The sequence below is a fragment of the Homo sapiens genome, chromosome 10 (assembly GCF_000001405.40).
Source record: "Homo sapiens chromosome 10, GRCh38.p14 Primary Assembly".
Lineage (NCBI taxonomy): Eukaryota > Metazoa > Chordata > Mammalia > Primates > Hominidae > Homo > Homo sapiens.
Genome location: NC_000010.11, coordinates 35833651 through 35847724, shown reverse-complemented (window position 1 = coordinate 35847724; position 14074 = coordinate 35833651).

Genomic DNA, 14074 nt, shown 5'->3' with positions numbered 1-14074 from the left:
AAGATTGAATTTCTGTTGTTACTGTGTGGTGGTGATACGTGTATATCCGTGTATATGCATACGTACGTGTGTGTATTGAAAAATGTAAATGCACAGTGGGAAAAATTTCATTTTGAATCTCCCCCAGAAAGATAATGTAAAGCATTTAAAGGTGTTATGATTTTAGGGAGAAAAGAATAGGATGAGGCAATAAGTTTCTACACTTTTCTTATGTACCTGAAACAAAAAGTTATGGAGGTATTTTGGTGTTTTATTATCGTTGCCATTGTTGTCATTTTTATGGTATATAGACAGAACAATTTAACCCAAACCTAGATCCACCTCAAAGAACGTCAAAGTCCAAGGCTTCTCAGTGAAGGCTGCCCAGGGTCAAGTCACAGAATCAGGATTACAAATTGCTTCTGGCCAGAAGGAGAGAATTATGGTGCAGAAAATAAATTCCTGGGGAAATAAAGTAAGTAGGCCTTTAGAAAATTGTAGATTTGAGAAGAAAGAATAGATGTATTGCTTTAAATTCCTGCTTCACATGGTGTCTTCACCGTAAGTGAATAACTGTGTAACTGTACTTCATTAAGGATGAGTTGATGGTTATACTATTTTAACAAAGAGTTATACTTTTGTAGAGAAAGCTTAATCAAGGGTGTCTTTAATCTGTCACTCATTTCAGTTATCTGAACCTGATGTAGTACCTGTATCTCCACTTGCCTGCATTACACCAAAACTGGCCTTCATCAAACAGGATGTGCTCCATTTCCAAAGCTCCAAAAGCACAAAACACAAAACTCAGACATATCTGAGAAAAATCCAGCAAAATCCTAGCCAATATAAAGATTTGGAAGACTGCACACTACAAGAAAAAACAAAAAATGAATATCCTTCAAACCACAGGTCAATAGCTTCATCTACATGCATCTGCAAAACAGCAGCTCATTTTCCCCCTGAACAGCATTTAGTGGCCTTATTTCATGCTCTACTCTTTCCAGGGTAAGGAAGGAGGAGAAAGACCCACAGGAATCTCCTTAAGTTTCCTTCCATAGCCACTTCTGAAAGAAGTAAATAAGGAACGCAGTGTTTGGGGATTGTCAATATTTTGATCACAGATATGAAGATGCATGAGAATGCACATGCGTATTGGGTGTGTTTTATGATTTTAAAGTCAGTATCACTGGTTGCTGATAACAGTCACAACCATTCCTTCAATCAACAGATATTGATTACCTATTAGGTGCTAAGGAATGTGCTAGATATTAGTAAGAAAAAAAAATGAGAGGGAGTTTCTGCCATTTAGCCTAGGTGAGGAAATAATTCCATAAGAATAATTATTGGGGCCAGGCGCAGTGGCTAATGTCTGTAATTCCAGCACTTTGGGAGGCTGAGGTGGGTGGATCACCTGAGGTCAGGAGTTTGAGACCAGCCTTGTCAATATGGGAAAACCCCATCTCTACCAAAAATACAAAAATTAGCCAGGGGTGGTGGTGCACCCCTGTAATCCCAGCTACTTGGGAGGCTGAGGTAGGAGAATCACTTGAACCTGGGAGGCAGAGGTTGCAGTGAGCTGAGATCAAGCCACTGCATTCCAGCCTGGGTGACAAAGTGAGACTCCGTCTCAAAAAAAAAAAAAAATAATAATAATAATAATAATTACTGGCCGAGCATGGTGGCTCACACTTATAATCTCAGCACTCTGGGATGCCAATGCAGGAGAATCACCTGAGGCCAGGAATTTGAGACCTGCCTGGGCAACATAGCAAATCCTCATCCCTACAATATTTTTTTAAAAAATTGGCTGGGTGTGGCCGAGCATGGTGGCTCATGCCTATAATCCCAACATTTTGGGAGGCCAAGGCGGGCAGATCACCTGAGGTCAGGAGTTTGGGACCAGCCTGGCTGATATGGTGAAACCCCATCTCTACTAAAAATACAAAATTACCTGGGCATGGTGGCGGGCGCCTGTAATCCCAGCTATTTGGGAGGCTGAGGCAGGAGAATCACTTGAACCCAGGAGGTGGAGGCTGCAGTGAGCCAGGATCACAGCACTGCACTCCAGCCTGGGCAACAGAGTGAGACTCTGTCTCAAAAAAAAAAAAAAAAAATTAGCTGGGTGTGGTGGCTTGTGCCTACACTGCCAGCTACTTAGGAGGCTGGAGCAGGAGGATCGCTGAAGCCCAGGAGTTCAAGGCTACAGTGACTATGATCACATCACTGCATTCCAGCCTGGGCAACAGAGCAAGAGACTATCTCTTAAAAAAATAATAAAAATAAAAAATAATTACAGCACAAGGTATTAAGCGTTATAGTAGATGTATGATGGAGTGCATGCAATTTATGTTTTGAAAGCTGTCACTATCAAAATTATGACTATACATTGTGGTTAATCTTTTCAATAATATGTGAGTAATTACCATTTAATGAAGAGTCACAATGTGACAAGCATGCACATAGTATCTCTCCTACTCTTTGCAGCTCCCCACAAGGTAAGTACTACAGTGGAGCTGAGGAAATTGAGTCTCAGGGGTTAGCTGATTTTTCATAATCACACAGCTATTGGTTACCAGAGTCTGGCAGGGTGGGATGAAATGGGAAAATGTTGGTCGAAAGGGACAATGTTTCCATTAGATCAGAGGGATACATTTTTTTAAGTCTACTGCATGGCATGGTGACTATAGTTAATCGTAATGTGTTGTGTATTTCGAAATTGCTAATAGAGTAGATTTTAAATGCTAACATCATAAAAAACAGATAAATATATGAGGTGAAAGATATGTTAATTAGCTTGATTTCTTTATTCCATAATGTTTACATATGTGAATAAATGCATATAACAAAACATCACAGTGTACACTGTAAGTATCCAGGCATACCTCACTTTATTGCACTTCACAGATACTGTGTTTTTTACAAATTGAAGGCTTGTGGTAACCCTGCAACAAGCAAATCCACCGGCACCATTTTTTTGACAACATGCGCTTATTTTGTGTCCCTGTGTCAGCATGTTTTGACAACAAAGTATTTTTAAATGAAGGCATGCACGTTGCTTTATAAGACATGATGCTATTGCACACTTAATAGACTATAGTGTAAATATAACTCTTACAATGCATTGGGAAACCAAAAATGTGAGCAACGTGCTTTATTACAATGTTCTTTTTATTGTGGTGGTCTGGAACCAACCCTGAACTATCTCCAAGATATGCCTATATACAACTAATACTTGTCAATTAAAACTTAAATGAATTAAATTAAAAATCACATAGCTGTGGAGGAGCTGATATCTAAACCCAAGTCAGCCTGACAAAGGCCATGAGCTTAACCACCAGGCCACACTAGCACCAAATCCTAAAACTGAAAATTGCACCCACTGTCTGTAGCACAAAGTTTTTAACCTATTTGAAATGGGCACAGTAGATCCCCAAAGAGATGCCTCTGGTACCTCAAAAAGGAAACAATCTTAAGCAACTAAAATAAAAAGTCAGCAAACTTCAGCAAAGTATCCCACTGGAGAGCCATGTGCAGGGAAATATTTTGAGGTCATATAGGAGACAGTAATCTTTGTATGGGGGCCAAAACACACTTCCCTAGTGAGGCTGCAGGATAGACATAAATAATCCAGCCCGGAGAAAGGTCACCTCTGAGGCTAGAGCCGGGGTTAGGAGCGACAGCTTGAAAACCAATTGCTCTGAAAATCTGCAGCAAGTCTGGCCAAGTACCACAGGGAGAGTGGTGCTGAAAGCAGATAAGACTTAACTCCTCTGCAGGAGGCGCCAACCTTGAACCTTATTGTTGCCCAGTAAATTTCATTAGGCATCACATTCTACTCCCTGCAGCAAGGGAAACCGTGGAGCCGACAAGCGCACTCCTGGAGGGACAGGAAACACAGGCCATGGGGCATGCAGAGAGGTCGCAAGACCACGGGGCAGCAGGCAGGAATCAATAGCACCAAGCAGAGTCCAGGGGGATCAGTGACCCCTAGACTTCGTGGCAGCTTAGCAAACTTGATTAACAGTGCACGTGGGATTTGCCCAGGGCTGAGCAGGCAGTCACAGACACCAGCTTTTAGAGAAGCAGAAGTATAACAGAGCTGTAGAAGGAATCGTTTCTGAGCAGGGAAGCTTGGCAAAGGCAAACCATTTGGTCACGTATGTATGATTTGAGGGGCCCAGGAAAGCATTCTTCCCTGGTTCCTCAAGATCTGAAATGACCACTATCTATTCTCTGTGTTAGATTGTTCTTCTTCTCTCTGTTAATCTATCTTTATCTGTTTTATTGTGAGAAATTTCAAACATATACAAAATTGGAAAGACTAGTAGAGTAAACCTCCATGTACATATCACCCAGCTTCAACATGTATTAACTAACAGTCAAACTTGGTCATCTCGACCTCTGCCTATCCTTTCCCTTCCCTGTCCCATGCACACTGTACTGGATAGGTATGAGACAAATCTTAGCTAGAGTAATAGAATTTAATTTGGAATACTTCTGTTTGAATCTATAAAAGGACTTCTTTTTAAAACATACCATATTATTATCACAGCAAAACTAATTGGACAATGGGCTCATTAGCACACTGGGTTTGACTGAGGGAAAGAGTCTCTGAGCTTGAGGCTATGACAATTGAAATTTCTCAAACTGGAAAGTAAAGAGAAAAAATACTGAAAAGAAGACAGTAGAATAGTCTAGAGTGGTGTCACAACTACAAAAGGTGTAGCATGCCCATAATGGGAATACCATTATGTAGGAAAGAAAGACAAAAACAGAAAGAAAATATTCAAAGTTTTAATGACTGAGAATATCTCCAAATTAATGTCATGTACCACACCACAGACCCAGGAAATTCAGAGACTACCAAGTAGGATAAATCCCTTAAAAACTACACATAGACATATTATATTCAAATTTCATAAAATCAAAGATATAGAAAAAATCTTGAAAAAAGAAAGGAAAAAGAAAGTCTTACCTCTGAGGGGAAAAAGATAAGAATTGTATCAATCTCTCCCAAGAAAAAAGCAAGCAAGAAGAGAGTGGAGAAAAAAGAAGAAGAGAGTAAAGTGAAATATTTAAAGTGTTGAGAGAAAAAAAAAAACTATCTATTTAGAATTCTCTACTCTGTGAAATTATCTTTGAAAAGTGAAGCGAGAAATACTTCCTCAAACAAATAAAAATTGAGAGAATTTGTTGGCAGTAGACCTGCCTTGCAAGGCAATATTAAAATAAGTCCTCCATCTCTTCATCCTTCTCCTCTCTCCAACCTCTAATGGCAACCACTAATCTTTTTACTTTAAGGTAAAATTTTATTTTACTATAAATAATAAATATTTATTGCAAATAGGCAGAGCATAGAAACTGGAGAAAGAGCAAATTTAATTCACACTAAGCAGAAGAAAAGACATAATAAAAATTAGAGCAGAAATCAATGAACTTGAAAATAGGAAATCAATAGGGAAAGTCAACAAAACCAGGAGATGGTTCTTTGAAGAAATTGATAAAATTGATAAGCCTCCAGCCAGGCTAACTAAAGAAAAAAAGAGAAAATACAAATTACTAGGATCAGAAATGAATGACAGAGCATCACTACAGATCCCCTGAACATTAAAAGAGTAATTAAAGAATACTATGAGCAATTCTATGCCCACAAATTTGATAACCTAGATGAAATGGACCAATTCCTTGAAAGACGAAATTGTCAAAACTCATGTAAGAAGAAACAAACAATTGAAATAGGCCTATATCTGTTAAAGAAATTAAATCTATGATAACTAATCTTACAAAACAGAAAGCACTAGGTTCAAATGGGTTCATTGGTGAGTTCTACCAAACACAAAAGGAAAAAATTTACACCCATAGTCCACAATCTCTTCCAGAAGAAACAAAGAAAATAATTCCTAACTCATTCTATGAGATCAGCATTCGCCTAATGTTAAAACCAGTCAAAGACATTACAAGAAAAGAAAACTACAGACAAATATCTTCCATTAACATAGAGGCAAAAGTCCTCAACAAAATGTTAGCAAATCAAATCCAACAAGGTAGAAAAAGAATTTTACACCATGACCAAGTGGAATTTATCTCAGTTATGCAATGTTGATTCAACAATCAAAAATCAATTAATGTAATCCATTGCATCAATAGGCTAAAGAACAGAAATCATGTGATGATATTAATAGATGCAGAAAGAGCGTTTGACAAAATCCAATACACATTCTTGATAAAAACTCTCAGCAAACTAGGAATAGAGGGGAACTTCCCCTTTGTAGACAAATAATATCTACAAAATACCTATAGCTGACATCATATTTAATGGTGAGAAACTCAAAGTTTTTCCACTAAGACCAGGAACAAGGGGAGAATGTCCCCTTTCACTACTCTTTTCAAAATTTGACTGCAAGTCCTAGCTAATGCAATAAGACAAGAAAAGTAAATAAAAGTTATATACATTGAGATAGAAGAAATAAAATTGTGTTTGCAGATGACATGATTTTCTATGTAGAAACTCTGAAAGAATTGACAAAGAAACTTTGAAACTAATAAGTGATTATAGCCAGGTCACAGGATACAAAGTTAAAATACAAAAGTCAATTGCTTTTCTACATACCAGCAATGAAGGAGTGAAACTTGAAATTACAAATGCATTACCATTTCATTAGCACCTCTCAAAATGAAATACTTAGGTATAAATCTAACAAAATATGTATAATATCTATATGAGGAAAACTATTAAACTCTAATGAAATGTATTAAATACGAACTAAATAAATGGAGAGACATTTCATGTTCACAAATTGGAAGACTCGGTACTATCAAATTGTTAGTTCTTTCCAACTTGAGCTGTAGATTCAACACAATCCCAGTCAAAGCTTTGTAAGTTATTTTGTGGATATTGACAAAGTGATTTTAAGGACTATATGGAGTGGCAAAAGGCCAACTCAATATTGATGGAGAAGAACAAAGTTGGAGGATTGGCAGTATTCAACTTCAACGATTACCGTAAACCTACAGTAATCAAGACAGTTTGGTGTTGGCAAAAGAGTAGATAAATAGATCAATGAAACAAAATAGAGGGCCCAAAAATAGATCCACATAGTCATCTGGTCTTTGACAAGCAAAGGTAATGCGATGGAGCAAAAATCATCTTTTTGACAAATGGTGCTGTCACAACTGAACAGTCTCAAGCAAAATAAATAAATCTAGACATGGACTTAACCGCCCTCACAAAAATTAACTCAAAATGTACTATAGACCTAAATGTAAAATACGAAACTGTGAAACTCCTAGAAGATAACACAGGAGAAAATCTAGGTGACCTTGGGTATAGTGATGTGTTTTTGCATACAGTAGCAGTCCCACCTAGATTGATGGATATTTGAGTTGTTTCCAATATTTTGCTACTGCAAATAATGTTTCAGTGAGTAGGCTTATAAATATATTTTCTTTCTTTCCTTTTAAAATTTTTCTTGGATTGTTATTGTCATCATTTCTGGGATACAAATAGCCCTCAGAAAATGCAATCTCTATGAAAATGCCAATGACATTCTTCAAGAAATAGAAAAAATAATCCTAAAATTCATATTGAACCACTAAAGACCTAGAATAGCTAAAGCCATCCTGAGCAAAAAGAACAGAACAGGAAAAATCACATTACCTGACTTCAAATTATACCACAGAGCTATTGTAACCCAAACAGCAAGGTCCTGGCATAAAAACAGACACATAGACCAATGGAACAGAATAGAGAATCCAGAAATAAATCCGTACATCTACAGTGATTGCACTTTTGACAAAGATGCCAAGAACATACATTGGGTAAAAAACAGTCTCTTCAATAAATGGTGCTGGAAAAACTCAATATCTATATGCAGACGAATGAAACTAAACCCCTATCTCTCACCATATACAAAAATCATATAAAAATAAATTAAAGACTTGAATCTATGACCTCAAACTATGAAACTACTACAAGAAAACATTGGGGAAACTCTCCAGGACATTGGTCTAGGCAAAGATTTCTTAAGTAATAACTTAAAAGCACAGGTAACCAAAGCAAACACGGACAAATGAGATTACATCAAGTTAAAAAGCTTCTGCATAGCAAAGGAAACAATCAACAAAGTGAAGAGACAACCCACAAAATGGGAGAACATATTTGCAAACTATCCATTTTACAAAAGATTAATAACCAGAATATATAAGGAGCTCAAACAACTCAACAGGAAAAATATCTAATAATCCCATTAAAAATGGGCCAAACATCTGAATAGACATTTCTCAAAAGAAGACATACAAATGGCAAACAGGCATAAGCAAAGTTGCTCAACATCACTGATCATCAGAGAAATGCAAATCAAAACTACAATGAGATATCATCTCACCCCAGTTAAAATGGCTTTTATCCAAAAACAGGCAATAGCAAATGCTGTCAAGGGTGTAGAGAAAAGGGAACCCTCATTCACTGTTGGTGGGAATGTACATTACTATAGCCACTAAGCAGTACAGTTTGGATGTTCCTCTAAAAATTAAAAATGGAACTACCATAAGATCCAGCAATCCCACTGATAGGTATATTCCCAAAAGAAATTAGTATATTAATGACATATATGCACATCCATGTTTATTGCAGAACTCTCCACAATAGCCAAGATTTGGAAGCAACCTAAGTGTCCATCAACAGATGAATGGATAAAGAAAATGTGGTACATAATGACAATGGAGTACTATAAAAAAAATAAGAAGCCATAAAAAAATCAGATCCTGTAATCTGCAACAACATGGATGGAACTGGAGGACATTACGTTAAGTGAAATAAGCCAAACACAGAAAGTCAAACTCCACATGTTCTCCCCAATTCATGGGAGCTAAAAATTAAAACAATTAAATGATGGTTACCAGAGGCTGCGAAGGGTAGTGGAGTGGCGGGGGGAGTGAGGATGATTAATGGGGACAAAAATATAGTTAAATGGAATTAATAAGATCTGGTATTTGATGGCACAACAGGGTGCTTACAATCAACAATAACTTACTGTACATTTTTAAATAACCAAAAGAATATGGACCTGGTGGTGTGCACTTGTAGACCCAGCTACTCAGGAGACTGAGGCAGGGGGATTGCTTGAGCCTAGGATTTGGAGGCAACAGGGAGCTATGATTGCATCATTGCACTCCAGCCTGGGTGAGAGAGTGAGACCCTGTCTTGGAAAACAAAAACAAAAACAGCTTTTAAGTGAGCAATATGACCAACCAACTTTTATTCTTGAGGAGGAATAACCCAATTCCTGACCAAGGTCTACCAGATGCTGAGTGCCAGGCTGGTTTCAGATCCTTTGCATTCTGTCACGTGAGAACACTTGTTTATCTTCCAGGACTGACCTGAGCATAAGGTGAGGTTTCTCCCTGATTTCCACTAAATTATAGACACTTGAAACCATAGCTTTTTCTAGCATGGCTGGGTTTAAATTCTATTGGCTATTTCTGCTATGTTGTTGTCATGGCAACCTTCCCATTATAAACCTGGGCACTCAGGGAAGGGGTTGCTTACATCTGGAGGGAGAAGCATATTAAACCGGACAAGTGAGGAATGAGTCTGGACAGGGCAGAATGGTAGGGGAAGAAAGGGGATGGCCAAGGGGCTGGAGGCAAGGTGCAGCTGTGAGTATCCTCCCACAGAGAGATGGACATTTTTAGACTTCCTCTCTTCAGAAAGTCCATTTCTCAGCACTGCCAAGGCTCTCCACTGCTTGTCCCATATAACCCAACTGCCACAGCTCACCCTTGAACCTCCACAAATACCCCTTCCCTTTCCACTACAGTCATTTCTCTTTAGTCCCTTGGAAACCCTCTGCTTCAGTCAAACCTATGTGCTCACTGGTCCCCAAACATTGCTTGCTACAGCCAAGTTTTGGTCCTCATTCGACCCAAGTGACTTTCACAGCTTCTCTCTGCCCTTCACTTTCTAAACACAGAGAATAATTCAACCCCTCAGGAAGCCCAATTCACCTAATCACAACACACCATTGTCCCTCACTGGGGACTATGATGGCACCTACCACATTAAAGTGTGTTATTTACAGACACCCCATACCCCTTTGTCCTCTTAGACAGGACCAGAAACTGTGCACAAATCTGAGCTTCCGAGATGTCAGTGTGCCTGTCCCTGTGTGTGAAAATACATCTGCCTTCTGGGTATCTTTTGCAATATATTCAAGGACAAATACTGACCACTTTTCAATTAGCCATGATTTTAGAATGCCCACTTCAGGGCTTCTCTCCACTGGCTGCCACGCTCTTCCCCAAGGCTCACAGGGCTGTCTCCTTGTCATTCAGGATGACATTCAAAGAGTACCCCCTTATAAAAGTTTTCTATCACTTTCCAGTTTAAAGAAAACTCCCAGTCATTCTAACCAACATCACCCTGTTTTGTTTTCATTATAACACCCATGATTTCTTAGGTACTATTGCATTATTTCTCTTTTTCTTTTTCCTGTGTTTTTTTTTTTTTTTTTTTTTTTTTGAGACGGAGTCTTGCTCTGTCTCCCAGGCTGGAGTGCATTGGTGTTATCTTGGCTCACTGCAACCTGTGCCTCCCAGGTTCAAGCAATTGTCCTGTCTCAGCCTCCTGAGCAACTGGGACTACAGGTGCACACCACCACAATTGGCTGATTTTTGTATTTTTAGTAGAGACAGGGTTTCATCATATTGGTCAGGCTGGTCTCAAACTCCTGACCTCAGGTGACCCACACACCTTGGCCTCCCAAAGTGCTGGGATTACAGGCATGAGCCACTGCACCCAGCCCATTATTTCTTTATTATCTCTGTTTCTATATTGGAATGCAAGACTCATAAGAGAAAGTAGCTTATCTGTCCTGCTTACAACTTGTCCTTGGAATAATGCCTGGTACATATTGCATAATCAATAAGTATCTATTGGTAAATCAGCAAATTCACATTCTAAGAATGCAGTTGTGATTTTTCTTTAATTATTCCACTCCTCATTTACAAATAAAAGAACTACCTGGTAGCATGGGAAGTTTTCTAATTTGCTTTATGAAGGTTCTGCTCCTTTGTCATTGCTGTAATGATGCCAGGGCAGCAGCGTTCTCAGAGCTCTTGACCCAGGCTTTCTTCCACGCACCCTTCGAAACCACCCCCTTGTATAGAGAGTAGCTAATTAATGTACCTCATTGCAAAATGCAGTCAACTTCAAAATGTTTAATAGCTTTGTGGGTTTTACGGGGGAATAAAGGGATATTTACAAGCTATCACTGAGCATTTTCTAATTCACTCTCCTCAGTGATCATATGAAGTAGAAATAGTATATTCCTGAATGACAGAAAATGGAACCCTCAAGAAGTTTAAATGCTTGGATCAGGCCCAGTATAGTGGCTCACACCTGTAATCCCAGCACTTTGGGAGACTGATATGGGAGGATCACTTGAGGTCAGGAGCTCAAGACCAACCTGGGCAATTAGTGAGACTCTGTTTGTATGGAAAAAAATAATTTTAAAAAATATTTGGCCAAGTGCAGTGGCTCATGCCTGTAATCCCAGCACTTTGGGAAGCCGAAGTGGGTGGATTACCTGAGGTCAGGAATTTGAAACCAGCCTGGCCAACGTGGTGAAACCCCATCTCTACTAAAAATACACACATTAGCTGGATGTGGTGGTGGGCACCTGTAATCTCAGCTACTCGGGAGGCTGAGGCAGGAGAATTGCTTAAACCCGGGAGACAGAGGTTGCAATGAGCCAAGATCACACCATTGCACTCCAGCCTAGGTAACAAAAGTAAAACTCCTTCTAAAAAAAAAAAAAAGCAATGTTTAAAATTAGCCGGGCATTTTGCATGCATCTGTAGTCTTAGTTACTTGAAGGCTGAGGCAAGAGGATCACTTGAGCCTAAGAGTTTGAGGCTGCAGTGAGCTATAATCATGCCACTGTACACTCCAGTCTATGCAACAGAGTGAGACTCTGTCTCAGACAAACAAAACATGCTCAGGTTGTATGAGTAGTATGTGGTCAGAGCTGCATTCAAACCTGGGTCTTTTAATTTCATATTAACCATACATCTTTCACATCTCCTAACACCGGTTTCTAAGAGGCAACATTGTCTCATGAAAACAGGCCTAGACCAGAAGCAGGAAAATTTCTCCTCGTTCAAAGTTCAGCTTGCCATTTGCCAGCCATGCTACCCTCAGCAACTTCTCCTCCTATAAAGTTGGGATGACAAAATAATTTTCCGCTCTGCCAACCTCCTCTGGTGACTGGGATGAGCACACAAGATGATGTACATCAAGACACGAAACTCCCAGGAAACAATAGCATCCCAGCGGATCCTTGTGGACTGCCTGCCATGTGACGGCTTTCGCTTCAAGTTTACTCCCGAATCTGCTAAAGTGAGGGAGGAGTCGCAGGTGAGAAATGCAATGAGGTCATGGGTTTGTGAGCTGAGGGTGGTGGTGAGAGAAGAATCCTCTTCTGGAAGAATAAAAATGTAAATAGCAACTCATGCTCAGGGCTTGTTGCCATTTGAAGTGAATGTTAGCTTGCATTGTCTTGGCAAGTCCTAGAGAGACATTTCACCTTGAGCACAGGAGTTAAGGCGGCATGCTTCAGCTAGCACATTTCAGCAGGCTTAACACAACAAACCCAGAGGAAACCAACCAGCCCCAAAGGGGACTGAGCGCACATCTCTGCATCCCCATGACTGACAGTTCATACTCACTGTGGCAAACTGCTGGAGGAGACGCAGGGAATCCGTCCCTTTTCCAGCTGAGGATTCAGATCTGACAGGTCCAGTGAACCAGGATCACCCTTTCCTCCTCCCTGATCAAGTTTTTCAGAGAAACTATGAGAGAACAAAAATAAATCTGTAGAATAATTTTTCAGACTCCTTCTCAAAATTGTAACTAAACTAAAACAAAAGCCAATCATAAAAAAGCTAAACGTTTGTTTCATTTTGGTTGAATTAGAAGGATTTGTGTTATGACCTGGATAAGAGGCTCTTCTATATTTTTTCTTTTGACTTAAGACACTATTAAAATGAGACTTTTAATATTCTATCCTAAGAAACCTTGGACACATCTATAATTTATATTATGATTTTTGAGAGGTTTCACCTGAAGGGAGTGTGGAGACCATCAGCGGTCTGTTGAGCTCTCCTTGAAAATGCTTTCCATTACTAATAGATAGAACCTCTTTTTCTTATTATTTATACAAGACCTTCTTTGATTTCCTGCTTGTGACACTTTGGAGTGAAAAACTGGTGACTGCATTAATTAAAAACGAAGATGAGATGGCTTATTTTTTTTCTATCCAGAAAATCCTAGCCAGAGTCCCTGCAAGTAGGCCTCAGTGTGAGCCTGCAGCCTGCAGGGCCAAACATTCAGGTTTCTGTCATTTGATCTGATACAAGCTTAAGTACTGATTGCAATCATTTTTGTTGAGTTGTGTGTGTGTGTGAGAGAGAGAAAGACAGGGTCTCATTCTATTTCCCAATCCGGAGTGCAGTGGTACCATAATAGCTCACTGCAGCCTTGAACTTCCGGGCTCAGGTGATCCTCCCACCTCACCCTCCCAAGTAACTGGGACTACAAGCTACGCCAGTAGGCCTTGCTGTTTTCTTTTTAAAATTTTTATAGGCCGGGTGCGGTGGCTCACGTCTGTAATCCCAGCACTTTGGGAGGCCGAGGCGGGCGGATCACGATGTCAAGAGATCGAGGCCATCCTGGCCAACATGGTAAAACCCCGTCTCTACTAAAAATACAAAAAATTAGCTGGATGTGGTGGTGCTCACCTGTAGTTCCAGCTACTTGGGAGGCTGAGGCAGGAGAATCGCCTGAACCCTGGAGGAGGATACTGCAGTGAGCTGAGATCACACCACTGTACTCCAGCCTGGTGACAGAGCGAGTCTCCGTCTCAAAAAAAAAAAATGTGTACAGATGAGATCTCACTATACTGCCCACACTGGTCTCAAACTCCTGGCCCCGAGCGTTCCTTCCGCCTCGGTGTCCTGAAGCGCTAGGATTATAGGCGGGAGCCACTGGGCCCGGCAGAACCATTATTAATTGGAGAGTAAGATGAAGCTGAGAAAC